This window comes from Homo sapiens, chromosome 1, assembly GCF_000001405.40.
Source record: "Homo sapiens chromosome 1, GRCh38.p14 Primary Assembly".
NCBI classification, from domain to species: Eukaryota; Metazoa; Chordata; class Mammalia; order Primates; family Hominidae; genus Homo; species Homo sapiens.
In genome coordinates this window covers 148,052,390-148,073,084 of record NC_000001.11, presented here as the reverse complement: position 1 = coordinate 148,073,084, position 20,695 = coordinate 148,052,390, and the positions used below count along the sequence as shown (strand labels likewise).

Sequence of the window (20,695 nt, the reverse complement as noted above, 5' to 3'; positions counted from 1 at the left end):
GGAACAGAAAGCCAAGTACCACGTGTTCTCACTTAAAAGTGGGAGCTAAACATTGAGTACACATGGGCATAAACATGGACACGAGGGCTTACTTGAGGTGGTGAGGGTAAGAGGAGGATGAGGGTCAAAAAACTGCCTATCTTGTACTATGGTCAGTTGCTGGGTGACGAAATAATCAGTACACCAAATTCCAGTGACACAGTTTATCCGTGTAACAAATGTACATATGTGCCCCCAAACCTAAAATCAAAAAAAATATGTATAGAAAACAAAGAGCAAAATGAAGGACCTAAAACCTAAAAACCATTTATAGTCAATATATAAAAAGGCTTAATACCCCAGTCAAAATCAGATATGGATAAATTTTATAAAAACAAAGTAAACAAAGAGGGTACTGACTCTTGTGATAGTTGGATACCAAGAACCATCCCTCACTGGGGCATGCTGTGGCTCACACCTGTTATACCAACACTTTGGGAACCCAAGGCAGGAGAGGATTGCTTGAGCCCAGGAGTTTGGCACTAGCCTGGGCAACAAAGTGAGACCCTATCTCTACAAAAATTAAAAAAATTAGCCAGGGGTGGTGGTGTGTGTCTGTGGTCCTAGCTACTCAGGAGGCTGAGTCGGGGAAGATTGCTCAAGCCCGGGAGGTCGAGGCTGCAGTGAGCTGTGATTGTGCCATTACACTCCAGTCTGGGTGACAGAGCAAGAGCTTATCTCAAAAAAGAAAAAGACTCCATGATTTAATCTAATCAACTTCAAAAACCCAACTCATTCCTCCACACGCCCTGTGCCTTGGCCATAGCATTTACCTCACCATTCTCCTATGCATTATCTATTTTTAGACCTCTGTCTCCCTTTGTTTAAAATGTTCTCCCAGCCTGGATAACATAGCAAGACCCTGTCTCAACAAAAAAAAATAAAAATTAGCTGGGTATGGTGGCATGTGCTTGTAGTCCTAGCTACTTGGGAGGCTGAGGTGGAAGAATTACTTGAGCCCAGGATATTTGAGGTTACAGTGAGCTATGGTTGTGCCACTGTACTCCAGCCTGGGCAACAGAGACCCAGTCTGGATGAGAGAGAAGAGAGAGGGGAGAGAGGAGAGAAAAAAGAAAAGAAAAGAAAAAGAAAGAAAGAACCCATCATCTATGAGTGCTGTCCTCACTGAACACCAGAGGCTGGGTATTGAGTTTACATCAGCTTTTAATGAGCTCTCACTAGGTTTCTTCACCCATTCAATGGGAAGGTCTGCTTCAGAGCCATAATTGTGTTCAACGGGACTAGGTTGCAAGGTTTAATAACTCTTCTCTTCTTTTTAAAATTTAATTACTTTATTATTTCACCTTTTTTTTTAAAGCCACATGTAGGCTGAATTCATTTAATTTGACAGAATAACACTCCTTACTGCTAATCCTGATCAATTTTAGCTTTGTGTGTCTTTGGGTTGGATCCACTCAGATAAGAGGACAAAAGAGGGCCGGGCATGGTGACTAGTGCCTGTAATCCTAGCACTTTGGGAGGCCAAGGTGGGCGGATCACCTGAGGTCAGGACTTCAAAACCAGCCTGGCCAACATGGTGAAACCCCTGTCTCTACTAAAAATACAAAAATTAGCCTGGCGTGGTGGTGGGCGCCTCTAATCTAAGCAATTTAGTGATTTGAGCTGGGCTCGGGAGGCTGAGGCAGGAGAATCGCTTGAAAACCCAGGAGGCGGAGCTTGCAGTGAGCTGAGATCGTGCCATTGCACTCGCAAAAAGAGCGAGACTCCATCTCAAAAAAAAAAAAAAAACCATTCAAAAAGAGGACAAAAGGTTCATTTGGAAAGAGGACATTAAGAAATAAGGAGAAATCATGAAGGGAATTTTAAAATGAAAACATATTTAGTGGCATTGTTTTCTGTTAGGTTTCAAAAAAGTCTCCATTCCAAGTGAGTATTGGTTTAGGAATTTCTTTCTCCTTATTAAAAGTGTTTTCCTATTTACAGTGAAAATAACTTTAGTAAAATTTTGTGAGTACTAAACTTGGATTTTAAAATCAGAGATTTCGATTATATAGTCTGGAGCCTCAGGATTTTAAGTTTCTGTAGGATTGGGTAAAATGCCATTGTAGATTTTTTGGTCATCAGATTATAGAATAAATACTTAAAGTAACTTCAGATTATTATTTTCAAAACCATAGCAGAAACTCCTACCTTACCTATCTTATTGAGAGACAATGTGAAGCCAAGACTAATGGAGTTAGTATGCTACATTGATGATGAATGACTGGGTAGTACACCACAGAGGGCTGTGTCATGGAGCGTAAAGGTGTTATTCCATTCCTACACCCTACCATCCGTCTTTCCCCATTAAATCAAGGTCAGGGAATGTTACCTTATGTGATTAAATCTGGTAGAGTCATCATTAAACAGGTGAGATAAATCATATGCAGAGTAACCTACTTTTGGTATTGATGAGACTAGGGTGGTTCTTAAGTATTTTATGGAGATCAGGGTATCTTCCTAAATCCAGATGAAGAGATCAGGTTAAGGACTGCTCGCTTTCAGGCTCCACCTGAAGAAACTATGTAGTAGGCTTCTCTCCCTCTATCTTCTTATTTTATCATCTTCTTTGATCTAATAAAATGTTTTCCTTATCAATAAGTAATGTTATCTAGGTGCTAGAGAAGGCATTCATCATTGTATTGTACTTGCAATAACTCTAATACAGGAAAATGTTCAAACCACCCATAATAAAAGTAGCTAAAAAGCAGATTTCTTAAAGACTTTGTGACCGTTTAAGCTCAACTGACCTTTCTAAGTTGCATGATTCTTAGAAAGGTCCCAGAGAGATGTCTATCTGGTGCTATATAGCAGTTGCTAATTAAATATTTTTTAATTGAATGATTGATATGAATTGAACACCCAGTAATTATATTTAAAAAGTGATGACTTCAGTGTTTTGACATCTTTAAAAGGCTACAGTGGTACAAAATGTAGGTGCTACCATGTGAAATTTGAACGTACAGTGAAGTACGTATATTCACTGCAATATCTAGAAATAAATATGTATTCTTATAGGTAGAGGCTAGTTTATCCTTGTAATTCTACTGATAAATATAAATGTATATATTGGGGAAATTTGTGGGACTTTTTCAGTATAAGGAAGAAAAAAATCTGAAAATTGAACTCACTGCAGAAGAAATTTTTTTGTATTTTCGGGGGAAGTACCAACTAGATGTGCTAACACTTTGTATTTCTTTATGTTTAGTTGCCTCTTTTTTTTTTTTTTTTTTTTTTTTAACAGAGTTTCCCTCTTTCACCCAGGCTGGAGTGCAGTAGCACGATCTTGGCTCACTGCATCCTCTGCCTTACAGTTTCAAGTGATTCTCCTGCCTCAGCCTCCCAAGTAGCTGGGATTACAGGCGCCTGCCACCATGCCTGGCTAATTTTTGTATTTTTAGTAGAGACGAGGGTTTCACCATGTTGGCCAGGTTGGATCTCTCACAGCCTGCTGAGCAATAAATGAGATAGCCTAGAGCAGTGGTTTTCAATTTCAGGTAGTTTTGTTTCCCAGGGAACATTTGGCAAAGTCTGTAGACAATTTTTTATCTTTTTTTTGGAGACAGAGTCTGACTTTGTTGCCCAGGTTGGAGTGCAGTGGCGTGATCACGGCTCACTGCGGCTTCCACCTCCTGGGCTCAAGCAATCCTCCCACCTCAGCCTCCCAACTAGCTGTACCACCACACCCGGCTAATTTTTTAATTTTTTGTAGAGACAGAGTCTCACTGTGTTGCCTAGGCTGGTGTCAAACTCCTGGCCTCAAGCAGTCCTGCTTCGGCCTCCCAAAGTACTGGGATGGTAGGTGTGAGCCACCACACCCAGCCTGTAGACATTTTTGATTTTTGTAACTAGGGGCTAGAGGAGGGTTGCTACTGTCATGCAGTGGGTGGAGGCCAGAGATGCTGCTGAACATGCTGCAGTGCACAGGATAGACCCCTCAAAACAAAGAATTATATTGGGCCCAAAAAGGTAAGAGGGCTGAGGTTGAGAAACCCTGGGATAGATAGAGGGATAGTCGGTGTCATCTTGTGCTAATTGTGTTTAAGGTTTTGTTTTGGTGTAGGTTTGATTTTTAATTTTGGGATCCCAGTGAATTTTCAGTAAGAAAATTGAGACCGTATAATTTTAGGCAAACCTCTGATGGGAGAGAGGGTTTAGAACAGGAACTAGGGCTCAGTTAGTGGCTGCAATTCCATTATAGCAGTATCTATTGGAGTTACTTTCTGTCTTTGGAATTACTGAGACCAGAGGAATTGGATTACCCCTCTCAAGTTACATACTGTAAGGGCAACTTATAAAAGAAAACTATCCACATTTTTTTGTCAGTTGGGAATTAATTGAGATAGAAACACTGCATGTAATTTAGTAAGACAGCTGGAAATCCCAGTTTGAAAACAAAATGAAAAGCAGACAACAAGCCTAACTTTTAGTTTTACTTTCTGTGTTTCTCTTATACCTCTCAGAAGTTTCATAAGCTCCAGAAATTTTGTGTTTAACCTTTTAGTTTCTTCAAATTCTTGGTTGAGAGGGTATATTGGAGTTATTAATCTTTGTTCTAAAATTCTTCGGGTGACTTCTCGCTGAGTCATCTGACCGTCTCAGTTTACCTAAGTATATCCCATTGTAAAATGATACTTAGGTGCACGTATTGGAAGCTTGAATGAGGAATGGAGCTGTATAATCCTAATTGAAAGGCAGTGTAAGAATCATGAGCAATCCTTATTTGCAGAGAAATAGGGCCATTACCGTATTAGAAGCATTTTAGGTTGTTGTTATAGTTTCACATACAGAAGTTTAGGTGCTGAAAAATTATTCTTTTTTAGAAATTTCTTTTTTCAATTGTTTGCTGTTCAGAGTTTCTCAGAGGTCCCCAGATGCATGTATATCAGTTAGAAGTAGGACAGGTATGGTGGCTAACACCTGTAATCCCAGCACTTTGGGAGGCTGAGGTGGGTGGGTAACTTGAGCTCAGGAGTTTGAGACCAGCCTGGGTGATATGGCGAAACCCCATCTCTTAAAAAAAAATTAAAAGAAGAAGTGAGTTGGCACCAGTGATTTTTAAACCAGGCATACTTTTCTTGTATGATAAGTAGACTGTTGGTGACTCTTTTCCCAAAACAGACCAGTTAGATTTTGTTTTTTGTTTTTTTCTGAGACCTGAAGCCTCACTCTGTCACCCAGGCTGGAGTGCAGTGGTGCAATCTTGGCTCACTGCAACCTCCGCCTCCCATGTTCAAGCAATTCTTGTGCCTCAGCCTCCCGAGTAACTGAGATTATGGGTGTGCGCCACCACACCTGGCTAATTTTTGTATTTTTAGTAGAGGCGGGGTTTCACCATGTTGGCCAGGCTGGTCTCAAACTCCTGACCTTGCAAGTGATGCGCCTGCCTCGGCCTTCCAAAGTGCTGGGATTACAGGTGTTAGCCACCACGCCTGGCCAGACCAGTTAGTTTTGTCTTCCTTGAAAATCTGTTAGGACAGATTAATCTCTCTCCTTGATAATTTGAACAAGTGTCACAGGAAACTTCTTAGTAGACAAGGTAATGTTTACCTCCTTGCCACTCACTTTGATGTTGTACAGATTTGGATAGACTTTTAACCCATAGTACCATCTTCCAGAAGTTTCATTTTGCTTACCTTTCACCATGCTTAGAATTTACATTCTCAAAAGAAAAAACAGTTATAGTTACATGCTCTTTCTTACCTTTTGCTGGATTAACTGAGACCTGCAGGTATCCTACAATGATGCTGATCTTCTAGCCCGTTAATTCTCAGACCTCTCAGATTCAGTGCCCTCTTCTTATAAGTATTTTGAAATACTCTCTTTAGTGAAATGAAATCCACAGGTAATACAGCTTTTCTACATATATGTGTGTGTGTGTGTGTGTGTATATATATATATATATATATATATATATATATATATATATATATATATATTTTTTTTTTTTTTTTTTTTGTGAGACAGAATCTCTGTCAACCAGGCTGCAGTGCAGTGGCGTGATCTTGGCTCACTGTATCCTCTGCCTCCTGGGTGCTTCAAGCGATGCTCGTGCCTCAGCCTTCCAAGTAGCTGAGATTGCAAGCGTGCATCACCACACCTGGCTAATTTTTTTGTATTATTATTTATTCTTTGTAGAGACAGGGTTTCACCATGTTGGCCAGGCTGGTCTCGAACTCCTGGCCTCAAGTGCGCCCGCCTCGGCCTCCCAAAGTGCTGGGGTTATGGGCGTGAGCCACCACACCCGGCCCTACATATATAATTAAAAAAATTATCTTGCAGTAAGATAAAGGATAAATAGAAAATATTTCTGACAGATTAGCTTGACATGACAGCTACCTGAGTAGACTGCTATGAGGGTATTTGCAACTTAAATACCAGGAGAAGCAAACCAGTACAGTGAACAATTCTTTGCAAATGTACAAATAAAACTCAAGTACAACTTCTTTCTTCTTCTTTTTTTTTTTTTTTTTTTTGGTAGTGATGGGGTCTCACTTAGTTGCCCAGGCTGGTTTTGAATTTGTCTCAAGCTGTCCTCCTCCTTGGCCTCCCAAAGTGCTGAGATTACAAACGTGAGCCACTGCATCTGCCCCAAAGTACAGTTTTCTCTTACTTTATTCAGCAGTTGCTTTTCTGGACATTTAGTACATATTAAAATTATGGACTGGGCACGGTGGCTTACGCCTGTAATCCCAGCACTTTGGGATACCAAGGCGGTTGGATCACTTGAGCCCAGGAGTTGGAGACCAGCCTGGGCAACATGGTAAAACCCTGTCTCTACAAAAAATTTTTTTAAAAATTAGCCGGGCTTGGTGGCACGTGCCTGAAGTCCCAGCTACCTGGGAGGCTGAGGTGGGAGGATTACCTGAGCCCAAGAGGTCAAGGCTGTAGTGAACCGTGATCACACCGCTGCACTCCAGCCTGGGTGACAGAGTGAGACCCTGTCTCAAAAATAAATAAATAAATAAATAAAATTATGCAGAAGGACTTGGTGCTTATACGTAGAATGTAATTAGGTTCTAGGCTTTGGTAATTATACAGATTTTTAAAATCCAGTTAACTATTCATAAGGAAGTTTGAGAATAAAGACATTTTTTCTTTGTGCTGGACTTGCCTATGCTTTCCTGGCCTCTGCCAACTGAATGTCAGTAACACTTTTTTTTTTTTCTGCAACTTTTATTTTAAGTCCCGGAGCACATGTGCAGGATGTGCAGGTTTTGTTATGTAGGCAAACCTGTGCCATGGTGGTTGGCTGCACAGATCAACTCATCACCTAGCTATTAAGCCCAGCATCCATTAGATATTCTTCCTGAGGCTCCCTCAACAGGCCCCAGTGTGTGTTGTTCCCCACCATGTGTCCTCCTCATTTAGCCCCTACTTACAAATGAGAACGTGTGATGTGTGGTTTTCTGTTCCTATGTTAGTTTGCTGAGGATAACGGCTTCCAGCTCCATCCACATCCCTGCAAAGTAATCACTCGTCCTTTTTATGGCTGAATGGTATTCCATGGTGTATATGTACCACATTTTCTTTATCTAGTCTCTCACTGATGGGCATTTGGGTTTATTCCATGTCTTTGCTATTGTGAATAGTGAGAAGCACTTCTTAACTGCTGTGACAACCAAAGCACTTCCATAGATGTCCCAACTATCCCCTAGATGATTGTATTGTCCTCATTAAGAATGACCTCTAGTCATACAGGAAAACATTTTTCTGTTTTATCATTCACTCTTCTTTTTTTTTTCTTGCTTATTATTCACTACTTTAGCACAGCCTTTTAGTCTAAAAGACAAAGATTTACTTGGCCTTTAGACAATTCCTATATGTCTTTAAATTTCTTATTTCCTCACCACTCTTATTATTGATGTTTTCTTTTTCATAAGTGTTAGGACAGTGCCTTGGTACATAGTAGATACTCAATTAGTATTTGTTGAATGAAGGAAACTTAACTGTAGGCTTTTTCTTCTTGCCACTTTCTGCTTTTTGTACCTGTTGAAAATGATGGAGGTACCAGTGTTCATAAAAACCTTGAAAACAGGCTGGGTGCAGTGGCTCATGCCTGTAATCCCAGCACTTTGGGAGGCCGAGGCAGGCAGATCACTCGAGGTCAGGAGTTCAAGACCAACCTGATCAACATGGTGAAACCCCGTCTGTACTAAAAATACAAAATTAGCCAGGTATGGTGGCGCATGCCTGTAATCCCAGCTACTCGGGAGGCTGACGCAGAAGAATTGCTTGAACCTGGAAGGTGGAGATTGCAGTGAGCCAAGATCGCACTACTGCACTCCAGCCTGGGCAACAAGAGTGAAAGTCTTGTCTCCAAAAAAAAAAAAGAAAAAAAAAAAAATTAGCTGGGTCTGGGTGCAGTGGCTCACACCTATAATCTCAGCACTTTGGGAGGCTGAAGCGGGCAGATCACCTGAGGTTGGGAGTTTGAGACCAGCCAGCATAGTCTGGAATTCAGCCAGTATGTGTGTGACCAGTGGTGGGTGTTGGGGCCTTCCAAACCCTTTCCCCCCAACCTTGACAAAAACATCAGTACTTTCCCCAAAAAGGCCTTCAGAACCCAGGGACCCCGGTTCGGAAAGCTGGACTCTTGGCACTATACCTGGAATACTCCCGGAGACCTGGGTGATAATTGAGCTTCTTTCCTCATATACCTATTTCGAATTCCTGGAAAACTCCGAAGATCAGATCTTGCTTTTTAACTTCTTATGCCTTACAGAGACCAAAACAAGAGCAAAGAAATGGACATTGCACTCCAAGATTTTTTCCCTTCACCATGCCCTGGTTGGCCACCCAAGGAGGCCAGTTCAGGGAAAAACAGTTCCATTCGATTCCATTCGACTTTAGTTAGATGCTAGGATATTACTCCTTTAGCTAATATAAAGCATTGTTTTGCTGTTTGCCTTTGTCTGATACCCATGTTTTCACTCTCATTCTTTTGTTTCCAATAAGCCTGGTACAGATTTGCACCACTCTTTTTGTTGTTATTGTTGTTGTTTGTTTTCTTTTCTTTTTAAATGTTTTACTTCCAGTTTTACTTTAAATTTAGGGGTACATGTGCAGGATGTGCAGGTTTGTTCCATAGGTAAATGTGTGTCATGGTGGTTTGCTGCACGGATCATCCCATCACCCAGGTACTAAGCCCACCTTCCATTAGCTCCTCTTTCTGATGCTCTCCCTCTTCCCAGCCCCACCTTCTGGCAGGCTCCAGTGTGTGCTGTCCCCACCCCCATCCTATCTGTCCACATGTTCTCATCATTCAGCTCCCGCTTATAAGTGAGAACATGTGGTATTTGGTTTTCTGATCCTGCATTAGTTTGCTAAGGATAATAAGCACTGCTTTTAATATTTAACCCTTTTCTGTCCATTAAACTGTTAGAGCCAGCATTTCCTTTTCTATCCAATCTGAGAGATTTAGATTCATTACAATTAGCAGTAATTAGTGTTATGTTGGAGATGATGGGCATAGTCTCATTCCCAGCATCTCATTGTATGATTTCTCTGTTTTTGCTTTGTTTTTTAAAGTCTCTTCCTGCCTTTCTTATCTAGACTGGTCTGTCTGGGTGAACTTTCTGTTTTCAAAATTCCATGTCCTTAGCACAGGGCACATTATGGTGGCTGCTCTGAGCAAGGCCCTTAACTGTCTCTCCTTTTCTCTGTTTATCGCATTCCCATTCCCTTGTCCACTTCCAGAAACTCGTTCTGAGATGTTTAGTATACGCTCTTTTATCCCACACTTTCTCTGCGTATTTCAATAAGGGGATGTCTTTGGAAAACATACATTGTTCTTGAACAATGTGTTAACCATAAAATGTGAGTTGGTTCCCCAAACCCATTCCAGCCTCTTTACTCCATTCTGTGTACTAGCTTCTCAATTTTTCTATTCTAACAGTAAAGTTTATGTAAAAATGGGTGAGGGGAAAGAGTCAAGCCAATTTAAAATGAACAAAACACTTGAACAGTGTTTGTTCACAAAAGAGGATTTCTTCATGTCCAAATGTCAAAAGAAAGAATTATCAGCATCGTCACTCATTCAGAAAACACAAATTTAAAATGCCGTGATACACCATTACACGCCCATCAGAACGGGCAACATTTAAGAGACAGGGAAAACCACTAGCTTATAAGAGTGCGGAGCAAATGTATCCCTTGTTGCTGGCAAGAGAATATGATGGTGCAACCATTCTAAAAGAGTGTCTGATAGTTTCTAATAAAGTTAAAAATATGCCTGCTCCATGACCTGGCCATTCCATTACCAGGTTTATACTCAAGAGAAATGAAGGCACAGGTCCATAAAAAGGCCCATAAACACCTTATTCACAATAGCCAAAAGTAGAAATATTCCAATCTTCCATCAATGGTATTGTATTCATCAATAACATCAAAACGTTGAGATACATGCCATAAAATGAATGTATCTCAAAACCATTGTTGCATTCAAAAAAGAAACAGAATCAGTATATTCCTTTACGTGAATTTCAAGAAGAAGCAAAAGTAACCCATGGAGATAGAAATCAGAATGGTGATTGCCTAAGTGGGGATGGGGTGAGGACTGACTGGAAAGGGGCTCTGATGACTTTTTGGGCTGGTGAAAATGTCCCATAACTTGATCTGGGTGATGGTTTCTTACGTCAAAATGCACTGGGCTGTGCACTTCAGATTGGAACACTTTGGTCTGTGTGGATTATACTTCAGTCATTTACTGATAGCAAAAATACATAAACAAATAAATAAATAAAAACAAATAACAATTGGGTGTTGGGGAATGACATTAAGTTTAGATTTTATTGTATTCTTTAGGCTTTACTTAAAATTCCCAGTTGGAGTGCAAACTATCCTCATGTCCTCTCGCTTGTTTCTGATTCGGCCTTAAAAGGCCCCACGGATGATTGAAATATCTGAACCAGAAAAACGGTTATGGCCACATCGTGGTAATAGTGGAGGATTCCAATAAGGCTGACTGAGAGGGAGCACCTCACCTTTTGGGTGCTGCACTTGCTCAGAGAGGGGGCAAAAGCCCAGCCTTTCAAGATGACTGGACCCCAGCATGCAAGGTAGGGGTTCCTTCTATTCTCACCACTGCACAGAGCTCCGAAGGCACTGGTAAGTTGTAACCTCTCTAGTCGCAGGTAAAAGCGCAGCCTAGGCAGAGGTTGGAGTCTAAAGGAAAGGAGGAGTGCCACGCCCCAGGAGGGACACTGCCATGACTGGGATTCCACCCTTGGCCGCGATGCAGAGTACTAACCAATATACCATCACAGGAAGCCGCCTGCTTTCTTCTTTAAACTTAATATAGGGCTGCTTCGGCCTAAGGGTCCCCATGATTTTCCTTCTTTCTTGGTGTCTCTCCATTTTTCCTGGCGTTCTCCCCACTCTGCTACAGTAGAAAAGATGATTTTTGTCTCTCAGGGATCCGGTCCTTACCGCTGAACAAAGCTACTGGGAAGTTTCCTCGCCAGGGTCGCCGCCTCTGCCGACTTCCTTGCTCTCCTCCTTGCAGTTACCCGTTGGACCCACCCAGTGCCCCGCTCCCGCCCTAGTGCCCCAGGCACCCACCCAAAAACAGCGCAGCTGAGCCCCCGCAGCTCCATCGCGCAGAAGGTTTACTGGAGGCCTCAGCCCGTTGTCCGCCCCACGGGATGCCAGGAAATCCATCGGAATAAACGCTTTTTAAAAAGAATTTACCGCCGGGCGCGGTGGCTCACGCCTGTAATCCCAGCACTTTGGGAGGCCGAGGCAGGCGGATCACGAGGTCAGGAGATCGAGACCATCCTGGCCAACACGGTGAAACCCCGTATCTACTAAAAAGAAAGAAAGAAAGAAAGAAAGTAAGAAAGAAAGAAAGAAAGAAAGAAAGAAAGAGAAAAAAAATTAGCCGGGAGTTGTGGCGGGCGCCTGTAGTCCCAGCTACTGGGGAGGCTGAGCCAGGAAATGGCGTGAACCCCGGAGGCGGAGCTTGCAGTGGGCCGAGTTCGCGCCACTGCACTCCAGCCTGGGCGACAGAGCGAGACCCTGTATCAAAAAAAAAAAAAAAAAAAACTTACTTTCCCTTCGCGACCAGCCTGGGCAACACGGTGAAATCCCGTCTCTACAAAAAATACAAAAATTAGCCCATCGTGTGGCGCACGCCTGTAGTCCCAGCTCCTTGGGGCGCTGAGGCAAGAAAATCGCTCGGCCCCAGGAGGTCGAGGCTGCAGTGAGCCGTGTTTGCATCACTGCACTCCAGCCTGGGCTACCAAGTGAGACCCTGTCTCACAAACAGAACAAAACAAAACTTCCCCATGGAAAAACAGTTCATGATTTCTATTTTCAGAGCTCTTCAAAAGACTAAAAACTGAATGCGACGATGGATTAATTCAAGTCCTAGTCGTGCGCTCTGGTGAGTGCCATACCCTGTTTCCCGCGAGGGGACCCACGAGCGACCCTCACCATCATCCCTGCCCTGGTGGAGCCCCCGTGCGGGACACAGGATCCGAAGATGGCAGCGGAAGCTCCGCAGCGGCCCCGAAAGCGACTGGGCAGGGTGGGCACAGGCTCCCTCAGTGGGTGAAGGCGGCGCAAAGAACGCGAAGATGCATCCCAGGAGCCCACCGGGCGTTCAGCTTCCCCTGAGCCTCGAGGCGGCGGCTCGGGTCGCTGACGGGGGCGTTTCCTCGGGCTTCTGAAGCAGGCGAGGGGCAGGGCGGGCGAAGGCCATTCGGCTGTCCTTCGTGCTCTAGAATATCCCAACGCGCAGGTGTCCAACACTACAATTCACCGCTCTAATCTCTCCGGTTTTCCAAGGACCTGGAACTTGCACAGTCGTCCTGCCAGGAGGGCCCCTGAAGATTGAGGGGATGGGGAGTTTGCTGAGTGCACCCTTCCTATAGCACCCAGAAGAAGGCACGGAACGTGTACCTGCAGCGCAATTCGTTAGAGCATTCTGCTGTTAATAGAAAGGTTGGTAGTTCCAGCCGGGGCCCTGGGGCTTTATTTTAACCTGTTTCTGTTGATGGGACAACCAACTCCTGATTGATCACCAGACACACATGTCCCCACTTCCTATCCACCTTAAGTCTGAGGCTTGGCAAGGGCCACCGCGCGTTATACCTATCAAACTCAGGAATCCCATAGACCTTAGAAAGGATCTCACCTGTGGTGTGATAAAAATCTTCCTTGCTCCCATGACTTGGGTCAGTTAGGTGGACATTTTGTGCTTCAAGTTTTTCATGTTTAATAATAGGAGGCCTATTACAGTAGTATCCTATCCCCAGGATGTGCCTGGGTTTACTGATTGCTCTATCAATAATGTGACCAGTGGAATCAGTCATCCTCATGGTGATCATCGCCAGTGTTTGTGAGAACAGCATTTCTTCTTGAGTTTGTGCATGATTTATTTAACCCTTTTCAAAATGTTTTTGAAGTGAGGTGCGTTTCATAGTTTTAGGATTACAAATGATGCTGCAATCACCATCATTCTTGTACACATATCTTAGGTCACTTGTGCAGATATTTCTATAGTGTGGACAACAGGATGTGCTAATTTTACATTATAGAATTTATTTAATGTTTCCAATTTGAGTACATTCTGCAAATTTATCTTTCGTGGGAGCGGTACCAAATCGTATTCCAATTTGTTTCTCAGTTCTGTTAATGTCCCCTTTGTCATTTACTTGCCGGCACAACAAACTTTCTACACATGGATGTATGATATTCCAGCCTTGGTCACCCAGGTTGGCATGCAGTAGTGCAAACATGGCTCACTGCAGCCTCGACCTCCTGGGGCCGAGCGATTTTCTTGCCTCAGCACCCCAAGGAGCTGGGACTACAGGCGTGCGCCACACGATGGGCTAATTTTTGTATTTTTTGTAGAGACGGGATTTCGCCGTGTTGCCCAGGCTGGTCGTGAGGGGAGAGGCACCCTCCTGGCTTAACTGAGGGGTTGTACAACAGAAGGACATGGTGGACATCGCACACAGAAACTCTGTGACATAGGATGAACTGCTAAACTTCTAAGATATTTTAAAGTCCTCCAACATCCGTGATTGTTTTCTGTGATGACCAAGTCACACTGGTCCAGAGAAGATGGGCCACAGCGACCTCTTGGAAAGCTTTCTGTCAAGTCCCTTACACAAGGGGAGCAAAATCACAAAGGTCCCAGGCAATTTTTTTCTTCTCCCCTTTCCTCTTTTCTTCATAAATCTTGGTTTTTCTTTTATTTGCCAAAACCAATCTAATGCCCTTTCTCCCTCCTATACAATGGTAAATTAGCATGCAGATAGCTGTCCCTGTATTATTATTTGATAGGTTTTTTCAGGGGCTATGTCCATAACAATTAGCACATCTGAGAAACATCACTGGAGCCAACAGAACCCTCCACCCAACAGGCATCTTGTGTAGACCTGAACCCTCAGAGCTATTAGCTCCTGTTTCCTTGCTTCTTTTAATGAATATCATGAATAGAAATTGAGCTCTTTGGCTTTTAATCACTAAGTATGGCTGTAGTACATGTCTCTGTCTCCCTCTATGTCTTCTCTCTCTCTCTCTCTCTCTCTCTCACTGTTTCTTTCTCATTTTTGCATTATTATTTTCTGTCATCAGTGGCACCAATGTGGGTTTCTGGTTTTGATGTTATGGAGTGAACTTCTGGGGACAATCTCTGTTAGGTGGTGGTTGACAAGGATCCATTCCCTGATTGGCAGTACATGACAGCTAATCTAGTCTGTGAGTCTTTCTTGATTGTCCATTATCCTAAAGATTCTGGTCTTTCCTGACATTTGAGACTGCAGCAATGAGAAGGTTTTCATATCTTGTCTATCTGATGTTTGGTAAAAGTCTTAGGGACACATTAGCTGTCAATATCTGCAAGAATGGCATCTCTGTAATAAGGATGATCTTAATACACAATATGCCACACCCCATTTCATAAGAACTCTTGGCTCCAGGAAAGTGCTATACCTAAATGGATCTTAGCACAGGAAAGAAACTAAATTCCTAGCATGTGAGGGGAACCTTTCTTTGATTGGCATATTCAAGTTTTTCACAGCTGAAAAGTATCAAATTAATCTCCTCTAAGGATTGTGTAAATTACAGCACAGGAAGGAGAAAAAAGACAATTATAACATCCCAAATAGGCAACTGAGTCAGCAACATGAGCACTTGTGATAATTATACAAATCAAGACCTCATAATTTCCTGGAATTTAAGCAAGTCCAGCCCTTAGTAAAAATGGATGAAAAGCAATGACCTGTAAAAGTTGTCAGAATGAAAAATGGAGTCACGTATGCCAAATCCTAACAAAATTCAATCAGGAGATCATAAAGGAGGGGTGCTCACACACACATGCCTGTGATAAAAACTATTACAAGAACTCTCTGAAAACCACAACTTTGCACAAAGGCCACCACAACCTTACCCAAAGAATCTCTCTGCAACGACATCTGCCCAGCAACTGCCTATTCATCCTTGGACTGATGCCACCCTTGTGATTATTCCTTGTGGCCAAGGATAATTGTTTCAAAACAACTATGTAACCTTCCTCATTTTCGCTGTTAAAGGTTCCCCTTCTCAGCCTGCCTGGTTGTGCCTTTGGGTCCTCATACGATAGTGCGCATATCCTGGATTGAAATCCTCTGTTTATTCCCAAACATTCACTTCTTTGGAGAACCACTCTCTCTTGGTTGTTCTTTTAGGTTGGCAACTTCGTACTCTGGAAAAGAGAATAACCTGCTAGACTCAAAAGTGTATCACAGAATTACTGAGATTTTTGGCAGAGGGGCCCTCCAGGTATCCAAGGGTGCTTAATGATTCCTTTTGTTTCCCTCACTGATAAGCATCCTTGATAGACACCACTGCCTCTGTTTCCACTTTAAATGATATTACTTATGACATTTAGATGCTTTAGAATGCCCAGTATTTTAATGGATTTTTTTCATATATAAATACACAGTATTTTCTCAGGAAACAAAGTAGAATACTTTGTCTTCCTCTGGAGGGTATAGACAAATCGAGTATCTGATCAATATAAAGGAGGTACTGCCCCAATTGTCTTATTATTACTATATGATTATTATTAATTTTCAGAGACGGGGTCTCTATTCCTCACCCAGGCTGGAGTGCAGTGGCATGATCTAGCTCACTGCTGCCTTGAACCCCTGGACTCAAGTGCTCCTCCTGCCCCAGCCTCCTGAGTAGCTGGGACTGCAGGCACATGCCACCATGCCTGCCTAGTGTTTTTATTTTTCATAGTTACGGGGTCTCACTGTGTTGCCCAGGCTAGCCCAATTAGCTTAAGAACAGTAATAACCATGTGTTTAAATTTACAATAAGAAAACTAAGACTTTTTATGAAAAAAACCCCACCTTTTTCTATGTATGCTTTAAATGTGATGTTTCTCTGAGGGAAAAATCCTGCTGCTGAGTTTCCCAAGAGGAAAAACAAGCTGCAGGTCAGCCGAGACAGAGATGGGATTGAGGTGATCTGTGCCTCTGGTGCCTGCCAGGGGCAGAGGGGAATTCATCTTCAGAGACAGAGAACACGACTCAGTCCTTTCATAATTTTTCACAGAGACCCACCATTCAGTCATAGTATTCTAGGCATATAAAGAAGCAGAGGCAAGAGAAAACAAACTCAAAACAGGAAACAGTAGGTTTTTCACAGATGATGGAGACATCGAGGTTATAAGACAGTAACATTCAAATGATATGATTTAGATGTTCAGAAGAATGGAAGAGACGGTAAAAATTTTCACCAGAAAATAATAACCTATTTTGAAATAAAATGGAAATTATACAAATAAAATACGGTAATGGTAGAAATAACATAGAGATGTAATAAATACTTATAATTGGAAAGAAAATCTATTAAAGTTAGAAATAAAATGCAATAGTTATTATTTTAAAAAGTCAATAGATTGGTGTAATGGCAGTTTGGATCCATGTGAAGATGGATTACTAGCCTGAAGATAAGTAAGCGGAGACTTTCCAGACAAGCGGAGAGAGAGCTAGCAGGAAGGAAAACTAAGAAACAAGTGTGTGTATATATATATATATATATATATATGAGTTATGTCATAAATGCTTAAAATAAATTGTCACTAATGTCCTGGAAGCTGGAGGAGACAGAAAATGGGACAGAAGCAATACTGAAAAGAAATAGTTCTTACCTATGGACAATTAAGAGAAACAAACCCAACGAGGCATCAAGGCACATGTGCAAGAAGAGCTATGAACTCCAAGCAGCATAAGGACAAACAAACCACACCGAGGCATGTCATCAGGACACTGCTGAATGCCCAAGGCACATGGGAAAACCAGAGCAGCCCCCAGAGGGGGAAATTCCTATTGTGTCCAAAGGTCAGGTGCTAAATTCACAGCAGTGAAAAAGTAAGACATCATAGAGTTCTAAAATACTACCATTTTCAACTGACTGCTGGCTCCTAACCCAAGACTACAGATCTTTCAAGTGAAGGTGAAGTGCAGACCTTTCTGGAGAAGCAGCACATGCTAACTAAGGGAAATGCGAAAATGTGAAATATCCCCGGGGAATGTGGAAAGGGAACGAAGGAACGCAGGGCGATGTGTAGGTTTAATGTGTGGCTCAGTCAAATAGTACGTTTTACTAATCCAATGATCATAATGATGTCCATGTGACTTAAAATATATGGTGCCTTAAAATTAATGAGAGTAACTTGAGAATCACAAGGAGGGTAAATGGAATTAAGATGTTCCAGACTTCTAGCATTGTGTAGGAAGAGTAAAAAGGTCTAATTTACTCCAAACTTTATTATACAGATTTTACAGTATGTATATAAGTAAAAAATATATCTCAGGGTTAAACCAATACTAAAACAAGTATTCATTTTGGGATTTTGGCAGTTTAAAAATAATTAACATTATTTTTATATTAAAAATGTAAATGTAAAAAGTGTACCATGAAGCTTAATAAATGTATAGACCCTTGTAAGTATCAACTAGACCAAGCCACATAGAACATTTCCATCAACCCAGGAAGTTTTCCATCAAAGTACCTCAAAGAGGGAGCCACTGTTGAGTCCTGATGCTTCATATAAATGGAATTACACAGGAGTATCAGACAGGTACATTAAGATAAATTTGTTTTAGATGTTCAAAAGATACTTTTATAGGCAACTTTTGCTAAGTATAGTGTTTGGAGGGTTTTACCCATGTTACTGTGTTTTTTCATACTTTTCCTACTTTTTTTTTTTTGCTTGTTTTTGTTTGCTGTGCATGAGGTCATTTTATGACTATATAACAGTAGGTATTAAATTCTTCTGTTGATGAAGACTGTGTTGTACCCAGTTTTTCCTTAGTATAAAAATAAGGTTGCTATGAGCATTTTTTGTAGAAGCCTTATTGGATGTATGTGTTCATTTTTCATGGGTAATGAATGAAAGTAAATTTGCTTCCTTATAGGGTAGGCTTAACTCTGCAAGAAACTGCCAAATATTAGAAAAGGTGTTGTGCTAAATTGCAGTCCAACAAACACCGCACAGCAATATCGTACACGCTCTGAATGAGGAAGAAGGAGAGGCGGCAACTTTCAAAATCAGGTTTTCTGTGTTTCCTTACATTTTCTCGCAAGCCTTTAATGACATTTTTGAAGGTGGCTATGGGGACATCAAGTGTCATCACCAGCCTATTCAAGTCTTGCCACAGAGCCATGGAGATATACCCCAGGGAAGCCCAGCCAAGTGTCAGGCTTATAAACACCAGGCAGGAATAGATACCTACGAAATGAAAAGGGTCAGGTGATCCCTCCCTCTCCTCCCATGTCTGTGCCTCTCTTTGCAGCTGCCTTGTCCCTAAAAATCATCGCTCCACTTATTTTGTCGAAGATAAAGCCAGACATTAGTTAAAGCAGAGAAAACAGATTTTATTCAGTAACTACTGATAGTAGAGAACGGGGCTGAGCTGTGTTCCCATTTGTACAGAGGTGATGGCATTATAGGGGGAGAGGGAGGTAGGGGAGAGGGCAGGGGGCAGGGCACAAGTGAAACATTGTGAATGTCTGCCTCATCAGGCCAGCTGTGTCTGCTAGCTGACAATATTAGAAGATAGGATTCTAACCTCCCACAGAGACTGGAAGACAGAGGCTCAGTCCTTCCTGAGAACTACAGCTCAAAGGAATGGCTTTCAGATCCTAGGGAAAGACACACTGGAGTCCCTAGGAGATACAAACACATCTCAAAGGGATGGAGGAAGGATTCCCTTCTTAGTAAGTGCTATACAAAAGGGAGATCCTGAACCTACCATCATCAGCAGGTATTGGCTGGAACTAAAGTAAGTTCCTCTGGCAGCCTTGAGCTTTCTGGGGTAGGCATTGTCATGGGAGCCTACAGTCACCCTCCAGACAAAGCCTTATGTCCCAGAAGCCATGATAGATCTCTTAGCCCAGAGATTTAAACTGAGTCATTGTGTGCTGAGTTTGGTGTTTCTCACTTTCCATCCCCCCATTCCATGGCTTAGATTTTAGTCCACTCTGTCAGATGTACAAGGCCACGGGCCATTTTCAGTGGCTTTCAGTCAGCCCAGGCATATCTATTGAGACCTGAATGAAAATTAAAAAAAATTAAAAAACCCCATGAGATTGAGAGTGGGCCCCACAATAGGTATCCATTACCCATATTCAAGGAGATGGACATGAATATTTCTAGGCTTTATCAAAATGGAAAGTGACTTATGGAGTCAGGATGAAATTCAAACTTACATTAGCACTGCATATAGCTTATTGATATATTTTTATATCAAAGCCATGACAAAATGACAATCCACAAGTGCAAAGGTATGTAGGGGTTGGGGAGAGACTCCATAAGGTCAAAATTAACCTCACTCTATTTATTTATTTTTATTTTTAATTTTTTTGAAATGGAGTTTCACTCTTGTTGCCCAGGCTGGAGTGCAATGGCGGGATCTTGGCTCACTGCAATCTCCACCTCCCGGGTTCACATGATTCTCCTGCCTCAGCCTCCCGAGTAGCTGGGATTACAGGCATGCGCAACCATGCCCGACTAATTTTTTGTATTTTTAGTAGAAATGGGGTTTCACCATGTTAGCCAGGCTGGTCTCAAACTCCTGAGCTCAGGTGATCTGCCCGCCTCGGCCTCCGAAAGTGCTAGGATTACAGGGGTGAGCCACTGTGCCCGGGCAACCTTACTTTCAATGAAACTGTTACATGTTGCTTCTGTAAGAGAAAGGAAGACAATGTTGGGCTGGAATACATTAATTGTCATGGGATAAACAGGCAGGACATGATGCTACATTTGTTAGTCACTTTTATTGAGAGTATTTGTGAAGATGAATTTTTCTGTCAGTTTGAACGGGCCATGGGGTGCCCAGATATTTGGTTAAACATTATTTCTCACTGTGTCTCTGAGAGTGTTTCTGGATGAGATTGACATTTGAATCGGTAAACTGAGTAAAGCAGATTGCCCTCCCCAGTGTGAGTGGGCCTCATCCAACCCACAGAAGGCTTGAATAGAATGAAAGGCTAAGAAAGAAGTCTCTGCTCCACTGTCTTTGAGCTGGGACATCAGTCTTCTGCCTTGGGCCTTGGACTTGGTAGAGAACTATATTCCACTCTCCTGGGTCTAGAGCTTACTCAGTGTAGACCTTGGACTTCTCTGCTTCCATAATCACATTAGCCAATGTAA

The 20,695-nt window shown here is 42.2% G+C and overlaps 1 pseudogene across 1 annotated transcript in view, besides 2 other annotated features; it reads right to left on the bottom strand.

Annotated features, from left to right (window-relative positions):
• Positions 1 to 20,695, bottom strand: part of PDE4DIPP1 (PDE4DIP pseudogene 1) — a 45,476-nt pseudogene that overhangs the window by 21,693 nt on the left and 3,088 nt on the right. The gene's annotated exons all lie outside the window — the stretch shown is intronic.
• Positions 12,218 to 12,718: an enhancer, noted in NCBI's record as "H3K4me1 hESC enhancer chr1:147532617-147533117 (GRCh37/hg19 assembly coordinates)". NCBI's record gives its function as "activates a minimal SCP1, AML or CMV promoter by ChIP-STARR-seq in naive H9 embryonic stem cells {active_cell/tissue: H9 hESC(naive)}" and the evidence as "EXISTENCE:reporter gene assay evidence [ECO:0000049][PMID:30033119]".
• Positions 12,719 to 13,219: an enhancer, noted in NCBI's record as "H3K4me1 hESC enhancer chr1:147532116-147532616 (GRCh37/hg19 assembly coordinates)". NCBI's record gives its function as "activates a minimal SCP1, AML or CMV promoter by ChIP-STARR-seq in naive H9 embryonic stem cells {active_cell/tissue: H9 hESC(naive)}" and the evidence as "EXISTENCE:reporter gene assay evidence [ECO:0000049][PMID:30033119]".